At 36.9% G+C, this 20,484-nt stretch overlaps 1 protein-coding gene and 1 long non-coding RNA gene across 12 annotated transcripts in view, besides 2 other annotated features; one reads left to right on the top strand and one right to left on the bottom strand.

Annotated features, from left to right (window-relative positions):
- The window catches only part of CCNH (cyclin H), a 101,460-nt gene extending 81,931 nt beyond the window's left edge, over nucleotides 1-19,529 (bottom strand). For 3 of the 10 annotated variants that reach the window (NR_157070.2, NM_001364075.2, NM_001363539.2), the window contains exons 1-8: nucleotides 19,277-19,529; nucleotides 17,823-17,945; nucleotides 15,889-15,962; nucleotides 14,575-14,785; nucleotides 11,443-11,606; nucleotides 8,301-8,371; nucleotides 5,993-6,104; nucleotides 1,643-1,703 (exon numbers count right to left, since the gene is read on the bottom strand). Coding sequence is in view for 6 of the 10 variants with exons in the window: in NM_001364075.2 (NP_001351004.1) it covers nucleotides 1,643-1,703; nucleotides 5,993-6,104; nucleotides 8,301-8,371; nucleotides 11,443-11,606; nucleotides 14,575-14,785; nucleotides 15,889-15,962; nucleotides 17,823-17,945; nucleotides 19,277-19,393 (933 nt within the window). In the remaining 4 variants the exon portion in view is untranslated. Of the gene's footprint in view, nucleotides 1-872; nucleotides 1,084-1,642; nucleotides 1,704-5,991; nucleotides 6,105-8,300; nucleotides 8,372-11,442; nucleotides 11,607-14,574; nucleotides 14,786-15,888; nucleotides 15,963-17,822; nucleotides 17,946-19,033 lie in introns of those variants that run through there. The other 7 variants (NR_157068.2, NM_001364076.2, NR_157069.2 and 4 more) reach the window with 5 other exon arrangements.
- Nucleotides 19,156-19,285: an enhancer, noted in NCBI's record as "active region_22753". NCBI's record gives its function as "activates an Ori minimal core promoter by ATAC-STARR-seq in GM12878 lymphoblastoid cells {active_cell/tissue: GM12878}" and the evidence as "EXISTENCE:reporter gene assay evidence [ECO:0000049][PMID:35858748]".
- Nucleotides 19,316-19,485: an enhancer, noted in NCBI's record as "active region_22754". NCBI's record gives its function as "activates an Ori minimal core promoter by ATAC-STARR-seq in GM12878 lymphoblastoid cells {active_cell/tissue: GM12878}" and the evidence as "EXISTENCE:reporter gene assay evidence [ECO:0000049][PMID:35858748]".
- LOC105379066 (uncharacterized) overlaps nucleotides 19,581-20,484 on the top strand; it is a 70,191-nt gene continuing 69,287 nt past the window's right edge. Inside the window, exon 1 of one of the 2 annotated variants that reach the window (XR_948543.1) lies at nucleotides 19,581-19,660. This is a non-coding gene — a long non-coding RNA (uncharacterized LOC105379066). The remainder of the gene's footprint in view (nucleotides 19,661-20,484) is intronic. The other variant, XR_948542.2, reaches the window with a different exon arrangement.

Genomic DNA, 20,484 nt, shown 5'->3' on the forward strand with positions numbered 1-20,484 from the left:
ATTAATCCTATGAAGAGTAGGCATTTTTATCTTCCCCATTTTCAGTGTGGGAAACTGGCACTTAGAGGTTTAATAACTTACCAAGGTCACATAGTGAAATACAGCTGGCCATGATTCATATGTAAGTAATTTGCTGTAATAGTCTGTGCTTTCATATTTTTATATTGACTCATTTCAATTTGAATTACATTTCTCTAACATATTTAATCTGCAAAATTCCTAGTAACTGTTATAATCTACTTACACGGATTCACTTATAGGATCTAATAGGTTAATTATAAGGCTGTGGTGATGTGTGCCTGTAGTCCCAATTACTCAGAAAACTGAGGCAGAGGATCACTAGAGCCTAGGAGTCTGAGACAGCCTGGGCAACATAGCAAGACCTTACATCAAAACAAAATTAAAAAACAACCACAACTGAATATACAATTTGCTGCTACCTACTTATCTATACTAGCGTAAGAGTTTGATGTAGACAGCTATTCAAAATCATATATCTGGTTTTTTTTAAAAACCCATTTGGAAATGTTTTCGGGTAACTAAAGAAAAATAATATTCATTACCCAGACGACTGGCTTTCAGTACCATGTAACAGTTGAAATACCTTCTGCAGTTTAATAGTAATGGACAAATAGCTAAATATATCAGGATGGCATTCAAAAAGCCATTTATAAAGGTTTCTAGAGGGCAAAACACATTCCTTAACACTTTTAAAGCTGGCTACTAAGTTTTGTTTTTTGTGGTGCCTTTTTTAAAAAAAGCATAGGTTTGCCTATCATATTTTGCTTAAAAAATTAGGCAAATGAGTTGCAGCTTTAATTTGATATTAGTCACGATGGAATAAGAATATTCAAAACAGGTGCTATTCTAGCTCTTTTGAAGATGGTTTATTTTACATAAAGTTACTGTGAAAGGGAAAGAAAACAATAGAAAAGTTTTAATATATTTTATGTTTTCACATTATACTTTTTAAATAAAGTTAAACGTTTGATATGCTTCCTACTTCTCTTGATTAGTTAGCATTGAGAAATCAACTTCAAATGGTTAGAGAGATTCTACCAGGTCGTCATCAGTCCATTCTTCCTAAGAAGGAAAAAAAGTGTGGTAAGGATAACACTGAAGCATAACCAGTATTGTTTACCTCTTACCTCCCTTTAAGAAAATGTTCTCCTCCTTTTACCCATGTGGATTACAAAAGATAAACCAGGAAATTTTGTAATAGTTCACTGTTAGTAATGTTGGCATGGTCTCACCAGACTCCTCCAGTGAGGAATAAAGGTTATGGCTGTGACCTTTTGCCTCTGATTATTCACTTATTTGACTTGACAGATAGAAAATTTTTTTTAAAAGGGGGTAAGGGAAAAATCCTTGGAGAATAAGAAAAAAAGCAAAAATGTAGTATGTATACATATTGCTTCTGCTTTCTATGAACACAGGAAGGATTCTTCATTAAATAAAGACAGAAGAGAGAAAAATCCCTTTAATAATGGACAACAGTACTGTACGTAAGGAAGTATGCAAAAAATGAAAAAACCCACAACTCTATAATGCCTGTACTCTTGGAGAATAAATCTTAACAGTATAGTCACACCAGAATGTATAACAAAAATAACTTAGAGTTCATCTTTGGAGTAAAACATACCTCCTCATGTTTGGATTTCTTTGAGACGTAATCATCATCTTCATAGCCTTTCCTCTTCTTCCTATAATTAAGCAACTATCAATAAGCAATCCAATACCAGCCACAGAAACTATAAAATGTAAAATAAACTAGCAAGGCTATAGGCAATATCATGTATCTACTGAACAACAAGGCCAGGATAAATGGAAAAAGATAAACAGCTATGGGGTAGGGAAAATGATACTTTTACAATCAATCTTTAAATTAAATGCAATTCTAATTAAAACCCTAATAAAATTTTTCATGGAATTGTCAAATCTAACACTGACCTAGGAAAGAGTGTGAAAAAATAGGAGCGAATATAAAAAAGAACAGTGTTGGAGGACCTTGTCCCAGTTATCTTTAAAGCACACTACAAAAGCTACGGTAATTAAAAGTGAGATATTAAACAGATCAATGATCAGACTAGATAAGCAAAGTAATGACTATGCAGAAGGATGAATTTAATGTGTGATAAGAAGTGTTTCAAGTAACTAGGAAAACATGAAATAAAAAATGAGCTGGGACCTGCTGGGCACAGGGGCTCACAATTGTAATCCCAGCTCTTTAGGAGGCCGAGGCGTCAGATCGCCTGAGCCCAAGAGTTTGAGGCCAGCCTGAGCAATGTGGCGAAACCTCGTCTCTACAAAAAAATTAAAAAATTAACCAATGTGGTTGAGCACCTGTAGTCCCAGCTGCTGAGAGGCTCAGGTAGGAAGATCACTTGAGCCCAGAAGGCAGAGGGTGCAGTGAGCCAAGATCAAGCCACTGCACTCCATCACACCTGGATGACAGAGAGAAGACTTTTTCTCAAAAAAGCGGGGTGTGGGAGCTGGGGCAAAAATTAGTATTTGGAAAAAAGTTGTGAAAAACAATAGAATATATCATATATAAATAATATATCATATATAAATAAGTACAATCAGCCTTCTGTATCCTGTGGGTTCCACATCTGTGGACTAAACCAACTGCGGATTGAAAATAAGGAAAAAAATTCTATCTGTACTGAACATGTACAGAATTTTTTCTTATTATTCCCTCAAGAATACAGTATAACTATTTACATAACATTTACATTGTATTTAGGTATTATAAGTAATCTAGAGATGATTTAAAGTATATGGGAGGATGTGTATAGGTTATATGCAAATACGCCATTTTGTATTAGGGCATCTGTGGATTGTGGTTATGAGCAGAAAGTCCTGAAACCAATCCCCCATGGATACTGAAGGATGACTGTATATAGAATCTATAAAGCACTACAAACCACAAAAATGTGGCCAGGTGCAGTGGCTCACGCCTGTAATCCCAGCACTTTGGGAGGCTGAGGCGGGCGGATCACGACGTCAGGAGCTTGAGACCATCCTTGGCTAACACGGTAAAATCCCGTCTCTACTAAAAATACAAAAAAAAATTAGCTGGGCATGTTGGCATGCACCTGTCGTCCCAGCTACTTGGAAGGCTGAGGCAGGAGAACTGCTTGAACCCGGGAGGCAGAGGTTGCAGTGAGATCACGCCACTGCACTCAAGCCTGGGTGACACAGCAAGACTCCATCTCAAAAACAAACAAACAAACAAAAAAGCCAGAAAATTGGGCAAAGGGGATAAATAAGCAATACAGATGAAATATAAGTGACTGTTAAGTATGGAAAGTTCAATGTCCCATAATCAAGAAAATGCAAATTAAAATACCAATGTGATACTTTTTCACCCAGACTAGCAAAAGCTAAGCATTGATAATCACCCATTGTACAATATGTATGAAAAATGCAAAGAAGAAAAAAACGCTGCTTATTTCATAAATATATGGATATACGTGCAGAGAAAAGGCTGGCAAAGGTAAACAACTGCTAAGTAACTTCTGAGGTCATGACAGATTTGGGTTTTGATCAAAGGGAACTTTGGTTTCACTTGTATTGACTGACAATGACAAAACAGTTTTTGTGTCATGAAAACTAAAGGTAAAATAATTTTGAAGATCAAGGAAAACAAATATTTAGTCCTAAAGTAGCACTACTCATGGTAGCAAGTACCAGAGCTGGTCCATGAACAGTTTCCAGTTTGCAGTGAGTTAAGTACAGGAATTGTGTTTCATAATTTTTTTTTTGTTTTTTTTTTTGAGACAGAGTCTTGCTCTGTTGCCCAGGCTGGAGTGCAATGGCGTGATCTTGGCTCACTGTGACCCCTCCAGGGTTCAAGCAGTTCTCCCTGCCTCAGTCTTACAAGTAGCTGGGATTACAGGCACCCACCACCACGTCCAGCTGATTATTGTATTTTTAGTAGAGACGGGGTTTCGCCATGTTGGCCAGGCTGGTCTCGAACTCCCGACCTCAGGTGATCCGCCCGCCTTAGCCTCCCAAACTGCTGAGATTACAGGCATGAGCCACTGTGCCCGGCCCTAGAAATTTTTAATAGCAATTTGATATAATAATTTTATGACTGCTGAATCTAATAAAACTTGAGCTTATGTTTTTGTCTTCACTTTTCTAGTAATTCATTTTTTATTGAATTTTACAAAAGTATACATCTAGTGATTTTTTTTTAAAAAAGTCCTTCGCAGTTTGAGAAGCACCCCTCAAGTACTCATAGATATTCAGAATTTGGCCCAGTACAAGGCAGATGGCAATCTGGAATACAATGTAAGCTATGGCAGTTAAGAATTTTGGATTATGGTCCATTCAGTTACTTAGCTAGAAAGGGTAGGATTAGTAGTTCAGTGGTCTAATCCAGGGGTGGATAAACTTTTTCTTTAAAGAGACAGTAAATATTTTCGGCCTTGCAGGCCCTATAACCAGTTTCTGTTGCAACTACCTAACTTTTCTGCTGTATCATGAAAATAGCCATAGGTGATATATAAACGAATAGGTGTGCTACATTCCAAGAAACTGTGTTCTAAAAACGCTAATGGGCTGGATATGCCTGGTAGGTAACAGTTTGCCAACCCCTGGTCTAATCCCATTTCAAAATCAATGCAAAAAGGACATAATCAGTGCTGCAATACTTTTATTCATTAAAGTCAACATTACTTCTCTGTAACCACTCTGAAAAATTCCTGTTACCACTGAAACCGAGGAGTGAATGAAATCCACCAATTTCAAGTTCTATGCTAAAACATGCTTTGTCGTTATACCTATAACTATAATAAAACAACCTCATATTCTGCACACTTCCTAAGTCCGTAGATATTCCCCAACTACAACTGTATAGGTAAGGAATTTGAGTCATGTGTATTTGACATAAAGGCCTTGGAATTGCTGTTCTGGCTTTTCATAGTTATCCAGCAGCACATATTCACCAATTACAGAAATAATACCTCAAATACATCTTAAATATAAGATGCCACAGATAACTCCCATTAAATTTTAACAAATAAGGTATAACTTTAAGTAACAAAATGCATCCCACAGGAAATAGAAAATGGCAGTTTCATTAATCCTAGTACCTGTCCAAATTCCCAACTGCTTAAACACCTAAAAAAGAAAGTTTCAGTGGATCTTTCAATTTGCAAAGCACAAATTGCCAATTTTATGGTGATTTTCACATTCAGCTTACAAATCAATTAAGAGACATTAAAGGTGTTCTTATGGCTAGCCACAAGAAGAAATTACATGGCCTCTTTTCCTATTGGCTTTGTGGTCACTATAAAGTTTGTCACTGAAAGAAGTATGCCGGGAGGCCAAGGTGGGCGGATCATGAGGTCAGGAGATTGAGACCATCCTGGCTAACACGATGAAACCCCGTCTCTACTAAAAATACAAAAAATTAGCTGGGCGTGGTGGAGGGCGCCTGTAGTCCCAGCTACTCAGGAGGCTGAGGCAGGAGAATGACCTGAACCTGGAAGGCAGAGCTTGCAGTGAGCTGAGATCGCGCCACTGCACTCCAGTCTGGGCAATAGAGCGAGACTCCATCTCAAAGAAAAAAAAAAAAAAGAAGTATGCCAACTTTCTCTACTCTAGCTAACAGAAGTCTGGAAGAGCATATTTGTTCCTCAGACCAGATATCACAACTTCAAAGAGACAAAAGATTAAAAGGACAGGAAAAGGTAAAAGGATTCCTTAGGAAGACCCTGACCCCTGAAATCCCATGAGAAGTAACAGAACAGGACAGGGCCTGCAAGCCAAAGAACATATGAGTCACAGCAGGATCAGAACTGCACAGTGAATGCCGAACTATTACCTTAATCTCATTAGAAATGTCCATTCAATAAAGAAAATCTGATTTTATGGATCAGTCAGCTTTCCTCTAATGAGCAAACACCAATAAAATGATTTACGAACCAGCTGGACTGGATAACAGTTATGTCTATTGATTAACACTGTCACATTAACTTACGTGATTACGTTAAGTGCAAGCTCAGCAGAATGACATCGCTCCAACTTCTGTTTCAGAACAGCAACTTCTTCAGATCTGGGTGGTTCATACTTCTTTACTAAGTTTCTCATGCCTATGTGGATACAAAAAAAGAATTTAAACTGAATAAGCAAACCTCCTTCTCATAGTAAGGGAGCTGGTTACTTTTCCATTTTGTCATAGGAAACAACACTCTTCAAATGACATGGTTATTCTCAGGATTTGCATCATTCTGCATTTCATTCTACATTAAAATCCAATAAGCACTGTATGTTTAGTTCAAGTAATTATGGCTCTCTGCTGTTTAGCCCATATCATATACAGCATAAAGCACACTATAATCTAGCATTAATTTTTGGCAAATCCTACTGGGGTCACTTCTTGTTCAGTTTTAAGACTTAAAAAAAAAATCCCTAAATGATTTAGTGAACATGTTTTGTTCTCTATCACCAACCATCTTCGTAGTATTCTATTCCATAGACAGTGGGCCAAGCATATACTTCCTGTTTTCAAAGGAAACTGTTATTACACAACATGCAATAAAGGGAGGATGCTCAGTAAAAATTTGTTAATAATCCTTTGCTTTAACAAAACGCAAACCCTATACAAAAATGTCCACTTTAGGTTAAAAGCAAACTACTGTATCAGTAACTTTATAATTGCAAAAACATCCTCTAGCTGATCTTGTTATTCAACTATAATAAACCAAAGAATACAAATTTCAAGATTAGGGGAATGATGAGAGATCCAATGGGCTTATTATTACTATTAGCCAGCCATGTGATCCAAATGACTACACTACTGACCTATTTCATAATGCAAACAAAGCAGTATTTTTAACTGAATTAATACTTGTAACTCAACACCCTTAGGACAGTATCTATGTTCCAAAAATTACAAATATCTTAGTAGCATTAAACTTCTGAGTGTTTTATGAAGAGCTGTTTTTATTTCATTTTAAAACAAGTGGAGCAAAATAAAGGTATTGAGAAGAAATCAGTAATAAAACTAAGCTATGAAATGAGTACAGTGGAATAAGACCTTTACCTACTAAATTCTATGATCCTAACAGCTACAGTCAAATCACAATTAGCTTTTAAAGTGTACCCCCTAGTGGTATAACTAAAGACCTACAGTTTATAATTCATAAATCACAGCCATCATTCTCAAAGGAAGCCCTCAGGATCACTTCGAGCAGAGAATCAGGAAATGATACATAGATGCCCTGAAGCATCTTAAATTTTAAAACACAAAATATATAAAATGTATGCCCATTTACTGTCATCGAAAATCAAGATTTCAATCTTATATTCTACTGGTTTAATATTTAATTACAATACACATTTAATTAACAAGAACAATTTACACAAGAAGGTTTGGAAACAAACATGATCGACTTTTAACCCCAAAGAGTAGCTTAGCAGCCATGACCAAGTGTGCCACGGTCAAGAATGGAGAATGCTGGCTAATCCAGCCAATAAGTAAAGTAGAGATTCTACTCAACTCTCAACACCGGCACTAATGACAGGGTTTCTCAACACCAGCACTAATGACTTTTTGGGCTGGATAAGTCTTGATTACGCAGGGCTGTATTAGTTTCCTGACATTGCTATTAAAATTATCACAAAAGTGGTGGCTTAAAACAACGGAAGTGTATTCTCTCATAGTTCTGGAGCCCAAAAGTCTGAAATGTTTCACTGTGCCAAAATTAAGGTGCTAGAAGGGCCATACTCTCTCTGGAGGCTCCAGGGATGAATCCATTCCTTGCCTGTTCCAGCTTCCGATGGCTGCCAGCTTCCTTTGGCTTGCAGCCACATCACTCCAATTTTCAAGGCAAGCATCTTTAATTCTTTCTCTGCTGTCTTAACAGTGCCTTCTCTGAGTGTGTCAAATCTCCTTCTACCTTTCTCTTAAAAAAATAATTTATCTACAAAATAGAAGTTCCAAATTTAAACATTATCCTTAAGTTATTTCCCATTACATCTTTTTCAGTGCCTAGTATGTTTCTTTATTCTTTAAAAGGATCCTGTTGTCAATCTCTAAATCCTTTCTAAATCTGACTCTATTTTCACTCTTTGCATAAGTTCTATATAAATGAACACTACTTCCTTCTATATACCTTCTATTTGTTCTAGACCAATGTGTCTTTCATGCTTCCATAATACAGTAATTCAATGAAAAGAAATCTAAACAAAAATCTGTTATATTTCTAGTTAAACACCAAGAGATTTATTTAGAAAGGAGCTTTGTATTGGAAGAAACATTTTGTAAAGTGTTCTCTTTTACTTACTTTTCATTATATCTAGTAACTGTGACAGGCAAGTTCTGTTCTCTTTCAGCATCAGACTCTCTGATAAATAACTAGTAAAGAAAAGAAAAAAAAATCTATTGAAAACATACAGCACATTGAGAAAACATGACATCATAAATTATTTTCCTCCATCCTCATCAAAGGCAATTAAAAAATTTTTAAATTTATGAATGTATAATCTGTAACTCCTATATTTTAAGGATTTATTACCACTTACATTAAAAGATGTTTATTGTTCCTTTAAGTTTAGTGACATTCAGGTACAACCTTTCAGAGGGAAAATAGTATGAAAGCAACAGTAATAGCCAGTACTTATAACATTTATATCTTTTAATATAGAAGCCCAATAAGGCTAACCTTATTTTACAGATGAGGAATCTGAGTTACAGGGATGAACAAGTCATGATCTTGTAACTTGCCCAAAGTAATAAAGCTAGGAAGCAGCAAAACTGGAATCTGGCACTAGTAAGGATTCTCTATTCCCTTAATATGAAAGCCATTTTATCTATAGTTGCACTTCTGTGGAGTAACAGACATTCAAACCAACAAGACTACCACCTAATGCTTTATAAATCTATTGCATCTTATTTGCATCAAGTCCAAATCAAAGGTGTTAAACTTACTTATCAATGTGATATAAAACCCAAATTACCTGTTTTTCTCAGAGCCACTGACAGTATGAAAATATAATTTCTATATTAAAATTTCAGTTACTCTGAAGTTTTACATACCTGAACTTGACCTATGATTGATAAAAGGCGAAATGAACAGATTCTCAAAATGTTAAATAGTTTTTCAAACACAAATGCAAAAAACTTATTTTTCTCTTGGGGGTAATAGTTAGAAAAATAGAAAGCAATGCTTTAAGAACTCTTGTTGCTGTCTTTATCCAGATTTATTTAAATTTTATTATAAAGTTTGGTAACTGTTTGATATTACATCATCATCATCTACTGTGGGAATAAATTTTGGATCTGAAAATCAGGAAATCTCCTGACAACTAATCCATTTCTGGCTACCAGTAATTCAAAATAACTAGTTTTTTCCTTTCCCTCTCCTACCTAAAATTCCTCCCATTTTTGTCATCTTCCTTTATTTTTACTCTTCATTTCCTTTTGATTTCTTAAGCATAAGGGTCATAGGTTTGGTGCTAAGAGTTGGCTGACTAGACTCATTATCTCTGTGAAGTTAGCAACTCTTAACCTCAATTTTGAATTTGAACTTATAATATTGTGGTGTTTTAATAAAATCCACAGGCAATAAGAATACCTAAAGTAGCAGATGAAAAATAAAGCTCTAAATCTGCAAGAAAGAGAAGAAAATCCAGAAATAACGGTAATAATCCTATGATTAATAATCTGAGGCATTATCCAGACTATGACAACAGCACAGGGGCTTTCCCTTTTGAAATCAGCAATAAATGTAAAGCTCATTTCCACATATCCCAAAAATTTGCCTGTAAATCAGCTGTAAGTTAAAAACGTTTGGAAAGCATTTCCCTAAAGGAAAAAAAAAAAAAAAAGGCCCAATGTCTAGTCTCTGGGAATGTTACGAAAGCCTATTAAATTTGCAAGGAGCCAAAGGTATGGCAATTTCAATTTTGCCTTCCTGGAATTATAATGAACTAAACTTCTAAGATGAAATAAATTCATTTGGACCTTCACTGAAGAATTTATAGATGCACTATATACAATGCTTCAAGATTAATCAAACTTTTGGTTATTTGAATTGTGGAAAAGAGGACTTTTGTTCCCTTACAGAATGAAGTCTGCAGGCCAGGTATGGTGGTGTGCACCTGTCACCCCAGCACTTTGGGAGGCCTAGGCAGGAGACTACTCGAGTCTAGGAGTGACTGAGATGAGCCTAGGCAGCATAGGGAAACCCCAACTCTACAAAAAAAACAAAAAGATTAGCCAAGGTGTGGCGGTGTGTGCCTGTGGTTCCAGCTACTCAGCAAGCTGAAGTAGGAGGATCGCTTGAGGCTGGGAGGTTGAGGCTGCAATGAGCTTTGACTGTGCCACTGCATTCCAGCCTGGGTGAGAGTGAGATGCTGTCTCAAAAAAAATAACCACCCAACCCCCACAAAATTAATGGAAGTCCACATCTTAACTCCATATACATCAGTAATTTACATGACTATCTTTCCTAACACAGAGATTTATCTTATTCATACTCCTAAAGTGTAGTACAGTGCATAGTAGTACATAGAAGGTATCTAATAAATGTTTGCTTAGTAAATAAGTGGAGATATAAATCACTTTGGGATTAAACGTATACATTTATATACAGTTGGTGAGCTGCGTTTGCAGAGAACAGGCATATCATAAATAAAATATAAACCTACAATCCCTTATCCTAGATGCAGATGTGTTGCGAAATTCTTATTAATAAGTATTCATGTCTTAGAAAAGTTATCTGGTGTATATATTATGAAATGTGAAATACCCAAGTGATGTCTGTAATCAGGAATATTAAGATTTCTGCAAGGGAACACAAATATTCCTATTAAGTGAAATAAAAACTAAATACAATCTGCTCTATTTGCTGCCACCTTATCAATGGATTCTGAAATTATGGATAAGGGATTATAATCATGTAAAATAGTTTTAATTAACTTTAGGAAGTTTTATCATCTTTCTTCCTCAGCTATTTCTAGGAATGAAATCAAGCAGAACCTCAAAGGTCATAAATTGAGAAACTTAATATAGAAACTAAAAATGTCTAATTGGCTGCTAGCTTGTGCTTCAGTTAGTTAACAATATTTAACTTCCGCGTGTCATACATGCTCTACAGAAGGGGAATAAAGATAAAACAAGGCAGACATTTGCTGCACTCAAGTTGCTCACCAGTTCACAGGAACTTCTAAATTTGTCATATACTGATAGCTATATCAGTCTTTCAAGGATCACCTGGTTTACTTCTACTTTAATCCTAAATGTATCCTCTTAGTTTAACAGTATTTTTCATGATGTTTAAAGATTTCCTCAAAAGGCAATTTCATTTCTTCTTCTCACCAACCATCCCAGCCACAAAGAATATTAAAGATTACAGTCAGAAATGATTCTATGAATAAATAAACCCAGTGACTGAATTTGACCTAAGTTAAAAAACTAATTAATACCTTTCCATAGTAATTCCAGCCCTGGAGGCACTAGATAAAATGGCAGTCAGGGCAATTTGGGAAGGTGTGTATAAAAGGTAAGCATCCGTCAATGCAATTCTATTAAGAAAGTCATCAGCTGTTTTCCTCAAAATCTCTGGATTCTCCAATATGGGATAGCGGGTCTACAAAGAAAGTTTGCAAATGTTACCATTTCTGAGGGTTTAAATGGAGTATAACAACAGTTTAAAAATTACACAACTCCTATTAAGAAATATATGCTATAACATATCTAAAGTTCCTAGCACAGTAATTGACACTGTCCTCAATTTACATTAATCCCTTCTCTTGGTCCTTTTCCACCTGAGTAGGAAGGGGAGGGAAGGGAAGCTCTTAGAGATTCCATTGAGTCTAAAGTAGGGCCAAGAAATACATATTCCCAGGTAAATGCTTCTCTCAGGCAACCCAGGTGATTCAAATGTAAGGCCACATGTAGGAATACACCTTATTTTTATATGAAATTCCTTCTATTTAAAATTTGCTTTCAGGAAGAAGTAAATAAAAATGAATCTCGATTTGATTAGAACACACTAGACTTCGAATTCCCACAGAAAAAGTTTTAGAGTATGCCCAAGAGATGTGGAAGACCTCCTATTTCCTGACAGTTCTTCATACCCTATAAAATAAACTATAAATCCTAAGTCCTCAGATATCCATATGCAACACCTAAAGCACTAAGAAAGCTTTTCTACACTCTGAAACAAAATATTCAGAGTCAATTATGCAAAAATGCCTCACCTGTGATATGACAAATTCAGACCCACTACTCTGACCACAATGCCTCCCTTTCTAATATATTTACTCATTTACTTCACAGCTGTTCTCCCTCCTCTGAACCTTTGCTCACTTATCCCTCTACTTGCTCCCACTCACCAGTGTCCTCTGGTCCTCATTTCTCTCCTGAATTCCCTGCCCCAATATGCTGCCAACAAATTTCTGGCAAAACCAGAAACTGAACAGTGGTTGAATCCAACAAACTTTCGCTTTGCAACTATACCAAGATTTCTGAGGGCTGCCAGAGAAAACCATACAAGCAGAAGTCTGGTAATGTTACTATAAACTCATGTTCATTGACCTCAGCAAGGCTCTTAAACACTGCCAAGCAACCATAGTATTTCCACAGACAATTGACTCTCCTATTTTTCAGTGACTGCATAAATATTTTCCATCTGTCTTAATGTCTTTGATAATTCTCAGAAACTCCATCACTCTCAGAAAACTATCTCTTACCAAAGAAAGGCGCTATTTCCTGTCAACACCAAATCCTGAGGCATAACAGTATCCTAACCCATGATTTCCCCTTTTCCACTGTTAAGAGAAAGAGCTATTATTCCCTCTAAGGCCAGTTCTTATACCTTGCTTCCAAATCCCATGCCAACCCCCTTCCATCTTACTCCAAAGAGACTATTTTGTATTTCATCTTGCTCTCACTACTAGCTCTTTGCCTCAGTATTTAAATGTGCATCAGTCTCTTCCATAAAACAAAACACAACAACAAAAAAACTCTCACCCAGTCAGAAACCTGGGGGTTCTTCCTCTGTCTTCATCTCTATATGCAATCAATCCTCATGTTCTATTGATTCTACCTAACTACAGGCTAAGCATCACAAATCCAAAAAATTCAAAATCCGAAATGCTCCAAAATCTGAAAGTTTCTGAGCACTGACATGACACTCAGGAAATTCTCATTGGAGCATTTCAGATTTTGGATTTGGGATGCTCAACCAGTAAGCACAATGCAAATATTGCAAAATCAAAAAAAAAAAAAGTGTAATCCCAAGTACTTTTAGTCCCAAATTTTTTAGATAAGGGATACTCATCCTGTATCTCTGAAGCCCAGGAAGCTCTTTCTGTATCCACAACCTTCATACGAGTGAAGCCCAGCACTATCTTTTGCTTGGACTCCTTTAACGGTACCCTGTTATTGACTTAATCTATTCTAATCCATTCTCCACGTTATGCCTGACACATACAGATGCGCGATAAATACCTGATCCATAAGGTTGCCAACATGATCTTTTAAAGCTGCAAATCTAATCATGCCACTCTCTAAATTTAAACCTTTCACTAGCTTCTCTTTGCTGTATTCAAAATCTGTAACATTGTCTCCACAGTCTAGACTCTGCCTTCCACTCTGGCAGCAGCTGTCTGTGATCTCTTCCCCCTGCATTGCTAGGCTCTGTTCAGGCTCTTCAGCACGGAATGGTTTCTTGAATTTGAGCTTTTTACCAGGGAAGTCTCTGATTGGAATGTTCTTCTCTCTCCTATTCCTACTCTGAATTTTATTTTAAATGATACGTTCTCAGAATGTTTTCCTTACCCCTTAATCTGTTATCTCCCTCTAAAATATATTTTCCCCTCTGTATCATTGAGCACACTGGATATATGATTGTCTAAAACCTTTAGATTGTAAGGTTCACAAAAGTTGAGACTGTTCCTGTCCTATTTCTGGTTACATCCTCAAGCACAAAGTTTGGCACATAGAAGGTACCCAAATTGAGCCACTGATCTAACATGAATGAACCAATTCCTGATTTGATTCGACTCAGACTATCCAACTTCTCTTTTAGAGCCAAACAAAACAACTTAAAAAAGTTGCTTTTGTCAATGTTTGTTTACGTATATTATTGATGCCTACATAGTGACTTAAGTTCACAAACCTCTAAAAATATAAGTCACTTAGCAATCTTCTAGTTTAAGAATTTTTTATGGTTTAAATCAGGCCCAGATCCATGACAATATAATTCAAAGTTAGAAGAGTTATCTTAAGCCTTTATAGTAAGCACCGTTCTAAACTCTCAATGGTCTTCATTACATCCCTGGATGTAATGAAGATCACTTAAATGAGATTGCAGATCACTTAAATCAGAAACTCTGTAAGTCCCACCCAACAATCTCAGTTAACAATTTCTCCAGATGACTGATGATGCCCACTGAAGTTTGAAAACAACTGCCCTAGATGACCAGGCCAGACCCACAGGTTGTATCCATGCTATAACAACGAGGATGATTATGAGTTTTAAAATTTTGGATTCTTTTGTTAAAGAATAGGAAAGGAGAATGTAGTATTAGTTTATTTTACATCAAGTTTACCTTTAAGTCGATGAGGAAGCCCTCAAATGGTCTGTAAGGATTGTGGACAATAAGGTGGAAATTAAGTTGCTGTATAAGAAGTAGTTCATATTCCAGTATCTGTTCAAGTGCCTTCTCCTGTCCAAGAGGACTCTCCCGGAGGTTTCCAACAAACTGAGGACTAGATACATTGAATTCATCTACTTTGCAGGCCAAAAATGCACAAGTGAGCCTAGAGGAAAAAATAAGGAGGCAGGAGGCAGGGGGTGGGTGGGGTGGAAGAACATGCATATACTTTGAGAAGTATCTAAATAATTTATTTCTAAAAGTATATTCTATAATTGCCTAATATTCAAAAGCGACTGCTAGACATTGCAAGAATTGTTTTTTAAAAGACACTTCCTGTTCACACTTCATTAGGAGACGTAAGACAACTATAAAATTAGGTCAAACCAATATTGCCATGGCATTCAAACATCACTGACTCAATGACAGTGTTATGCAGTACAACCTAAATATCTGGAAAAACAAATTAACTGAGGAATAAGAGTACTTTGTATAATGTAGATGGAAGAGTTAAAAATAAAGCAGTACCCACATATGTACCATGTAAGTATGGGAAGAAAAGTAGGTTAAAGGAACATTGTGGAAGGCCATCGGCAGAAGTCTCTAAGGGCATCTGAATAAGGGACTATTATTTAAGGGACAAACTTGTGAAATTCACCTGGCCACTTCATGCTGTTCAGTATGAGAAAACAGTAAGAAAGCTACTGTAAAAAACAGTTGGCAGTGAGATCAAGGGCCTAATCTTGACTGGTGGAAATGGGAATCAAAAAAGAGAAAACAGGTACAATGTCATTGAGAGCAAACTCTTTGATGAGTTTCATACTAATTTCATTTTTAATGATAGACACAGCGCTCAGCAGAGAGCAGCAACAACAGACCTTTGTTCAACTGAAATGAGTATGAAGCTATAGGATCCGTAAACTGACTGGATGTGGGAGGGGCCACTATAAATGATTCTCAGTCTGAACAACTGGAAGAACAAAGGTGTCTAATAGGAAGAGATGTTAGAGAAGTAGCTAATTTGAGAAAAACAAAATTTGAATCTGGACAAGCTGAAGTTCACATACCATCAGAATTACTGAAGTACAGGTAAACAGAGATCTCAAGTTCTGAATAAAAAAAAAAAAATAGAATTCAAGTCTAAATTACCCTGTATTAGGAAGTCAGTTCTCTCTCTCTCTCTCTCACAATTCTCTCCTCCCAAAAAATACTCAAAAGATTATAAAGGTCTTCTTAAATGAAAACAATATATTAGACAGACATACTCACATTATTATCCTGGGGTGATATTCCATTACTGAGTTATTAAGATAAAAACGTTTGAAATACATACAAGCCGTACCCTAAGGGTTAAAAAAAATATATCATCAGGATCTAGTCACAAATGTTAAATGTTAAATTTTGTGAAACAGAACTTATTTATGGAAAGGTTTCTTTGTAGAGATTACCCAGAAAAATACTAATACTCATTAATTCTTCTTTAATCAAAACAAATTGTGATGAATTACTACAGAAATGCCATAGCCAAAAGATTCTTTCCCATCCTTTGCTTGTCTATCCCCAGCCTACTCTGGCTAATCCTTCCTATGGTCACTGGATTTAAAAATACGTGTGTGTGTGTGTGTGTGTGTGTGTGTGTGTGTATTAGAAATCAGACTATCAAAAATGTTCTGAATTAGATAAATTCAGGAAGAAAAATACAAACGTTCACAGATTAACCAATCTTATAAAAATACTGACAAAAAAACATGGGCAAGGCAATAAGCCTTCTCTCTAAAGCCACTCCATATTTGTGATATAACCATGTATCCATTCCATGATTTGTGATCACTGCTGCCAACTGAATGGCAGAAGCAGCACTACCATTTATTGAATGTATACCATGTGCCAGACTCTGTGCTAAACACGAAACTATCATCATGTTTTAATCCTTACAACAGCTTGGTGAAGTATTACTATCTCTACAGAGAAGGAAACTGAGTATCAATGAGGTTAACTGACTTATCTAGGTCACACAGCTAATAAGGAACAGGAATGAATTCAAGTAAGACCTGCCTGTACTTTTAACCATTATATCATTTGGCTGGAACCAATGAAATAACCACTTATCTATTTTATGATAGAAAAAAGAATATTTCCTTTTAAGTATTTTAAAAGTTTAGTTTTGTCATTATGTAAAACAAAAAATTATTCACCAATGATAAACATGTTATTTAAAAATAAATTCCATAAAGAAGTTCATTAAAGGATTTTTTCTTCATTTGATAAGATCACTTAAATTTACTGCCTCATTTTACAGTTCTTTTGTAAGAACAAGCCAAATCTGAAGATATAAACTAATCAAGTATACCTAAAACTCTCTCTGAATCTTTGACATCTCAGATGAAAAAAAATTGTAAATTCTATGGACTTAATATTTTCAACATACTTCAATTTTTTTTTCAACTATAAAAATGGAGATAATTTCCTAGAAAATTATTCTCTACTGGGTCGTAAGCTAGTCACGCTGTATAACTTTAAAACTTAACAGACTTTTACTTAAGATATACTTTTATATTTGGTCTTCACAACAAACCAGTGAGAGAATAACGTAACAACATTTTGAACACCCTCCCACTCTACCTTTTTTATCTTTCTGCTTTTTAATCTCAGCTACCTGTTTCTCCTCACGGTTGCCCACCCCAGCAAAAAACAAATAGGTCCTCAGAACCATACATCTGAAACAATAAGGCAATCTTTTTCACCAAAGATAAAACTCCAGCTTCTACTAATCAAGGCTTAAAAAAATCTTATGGTATCAGTTTCAGCTGGGGCATATGATTACCAATGATGAATGAATGCATTATTTCAAACATTTATTGGGTGTCACAGAGTTGGAAAAGCAGTAGTCTATGTTCTAGTCCCAGTCCTATGGCTCATTAGTTGAGAACTTAGAGGAAAGTAATTTATTTTTTTTCTTTCTTTATGACATTACCTGACCTCAAATTTTTTTCTGACCACAAAGTGAGACTTGAAATACTTTTGAAGATATGATACAGCAACTCATGATTTAAGGCCTGTATTGAAAAATATATAATGTGCCAAAAACTAATTAATTGTAACTAAGGTGAATTTTTAAGACTTGAGTGGACAGGGAATTTAGAAGAGGTCAAATTTCACAAGCCAACTAAAGGACATTATATTTCATCACCACTGTAACTTACCACAACAGATCTTGGCATTGCTGGCTTAAACACCGAACAGAATTCCAATAACCTTTTCTCATAGTATTTGCAGAGTGTCATTTCTTCATGAGGCTCAAGAAAGACTGGATCATTCGGAAGAACCTTTAGATCAACAATTACAACACAAGTTCAATGAATTCAATGAATTAAACAATTGTAAAACATTTTTCTCTATCTAGATTAAATTTAGTTTATATATCCAACGAAGGGTATATATCACGCCTCATTTTCTTTATAGATTCGCTAATCATTACACAAAATAGCTGTAGGAAAATATTTAATAAACTAAAACTGTACCATCATTTCACGACTTTTCGGAATGTCAGCTAGACCTTTGCTTCATTAAAGTATAAACAATCATGACAGGCTGTGTGCACATGCTCACAGTTGTGATATCATTATTTATAAATTAAAAAGTAGACAGACTTTTTAAAATATGATTGGAAAGCTTCCAACATCCGTTTCTCGGTCAGTCATTACGTCACAAGTTGTAAAAAAACAGCAAATGTTTCAATAAATTTCTGTTATTTTAAGCTACCCAGTTTGTGGTGATTTTTTTAAGGCAGCCCTTAGGAAACTAATTCAGGTGCTAAAATCAGTGATATGAAATAGATGTGAATTAAAGGTAGAAAGTAAAGTAACTCAGTATCGGTAATTTGGAGGCACTGAACACTTGCTGGAGTGGAGCTTGCAGGAAAGATTAAACCAGTCCGAGAGCTGTAACAGAAGGAACTTGGCTAGCGGGCCATAGTCCAAACCATCTTCAGTCACTTGGTTTGTACTTGGTCTCTGGTCTCCCTCCCTCATCCAACCCATTCACCACGAGGTTGCTAGAGCGCTGTTTCCAGAACGGAAATCTGATAAGGTTAGCTTCCCATTTTAAATATTTCAAAGGTTCCTCATCCTTTCAGTGGAAATGTTAAACGCCTCACTTCCACTTACAAGTTCCCTTCCTACCCTCCCCAGCCATTCCTGCACAGGTACTCAACTTCGGCCACATACGACCACAAACACGTCCACGCACCATCTCTGTAACTTCTGACCTCCCTCCCACTCTGAACGGTGGTTCTGACTGCCTGGAACTTCCTTTCCCATTTTCTCCGCATTGGCTACTGGGAAAAACCTTCCCCAACATCATCTCTTGACAAGTGAACGGCTCTTGCCACGCACTACCTTAGCACACTACTTACTCTCTTCTTCACTACGTTACAAAGACTGGTTACTTGTCTGCCATTCGACGACGGGGATGGCGTTGTTCGTCTTTGTACCCACGGAACCTGGCAAGGTGCTCGCTTATTTTGATAGAAAAACGCACTCCGCGCCGCAGAGGCAGAGAAACGACGGAGCGAGATTGTCCTGGGAGCCAGAAGAGCTCCCGCAGCTGCTCAGAATTTAGTGACCGGGCAACTGGGCAACCGTTGGGAAAACCTCACCTTCCCGTTGGCCACGGCTTTGCATCTGAATTTGCGGTTGGCGTCAGCCCGCAGTCTTGCCAGCTGCTCCTCGCTGGAGAAGGTCCAGTGCCGCTTCTGACTACTGTTGTGGTACATTATGGAATCGTGACCAGGTCCAGAGGGTCTGCAGACGAGAACCCAAACGCATCAGCGTCCTGGCGTAAAACACCCGTACCCCCACCGAAGATCTCGCGGAAGCCTAGGGCGTCCGGCTAGCCGGCGCTGGCGCGCTGTCGTCACGATTACGCGGCCAGCCCGTACGCAGTTGCATTTCCGGAGCGGACTAGGAACAGACCGTATCCCGGGTTCGTTAGGGCGCCCACTGAGACGTAAGTGGGCGGAGCCTAGAGAACGCTCCTCTCGGTGAGTCTGGGACATAGCTCCGCCCCTTCCAGGCAAGATTTAAAGGAGAAGCGCCCGGCAAGAGTGTTCAAGGGGCATAAACTGAGGGTACGGAGTAGGCAGATGTAAATTCACAGGGGATAATCAGAAATGAGGAAAGGATTTCGTAGGGTGCTCATTTTTAAATAGAGGCCTCACTGAAGTTGACATTTGTGAAAAGGCTTGAAAGAGTTGAAATAGTAGGTTGATCAATCATGTAGGGAGATCACGGGGCCCAGAAAGAATAGGTAAGATCTTCAGGCAGAAGCATTCCTAGCCCTTTTCAGGAAGAGTTTGGAGACCAGTATTCTTGAAGCACTACCAGAAATCTCGGAGAATGGAACATGGCTGAAAAACTTGAAGCAGTGGATGCGTATTGGCCCTTACAGTTCTGCCACTTTTGTTGCCTTGTCTGTTCTTTCTCTGTGCTTTTTTTCCTTACCCTTCTGTTGATAACTAGCCAATCCTCTCCCTCTGTTTTCATCTCTGAAGCCAGGATGTATGGTAGTATTCGTTTTATTGAGATTCCCATTTTCATTGCCTCTAGGGAGCCTTACAGTAAGCTATCATGAAAATTAAGGTATTTACTATTTTTTAAATTAATAGGACTTTCAAAATTGCAGGTGAGGTTCAAAATTTACATGGATTCTGGTTTGTCCCATTTAGGCATACCTTATTCTCTCATGTATTTATTATATATCCAATCCGAAAAATGGATTTCCCTATGGCAAATAGCTTTTCTAAAAAATAAATAAATAAATAAAAAGAAAGAGAAAGATGATGAGACCTAGAGAATTTAGGTCTTG

This window comes from Homo sapiens, chromosome 5 (genome assembly GCF_000001405.40).
Source record: "Homo sapiens chromosome 5, GRCh38.p14 Primary Assembly".
NCBI classification, from domain to species: Eukaryota; Metazoa; Chordata; class Mammalia; order Primates; family Hominidae; genus Homo; species Homo sapiens.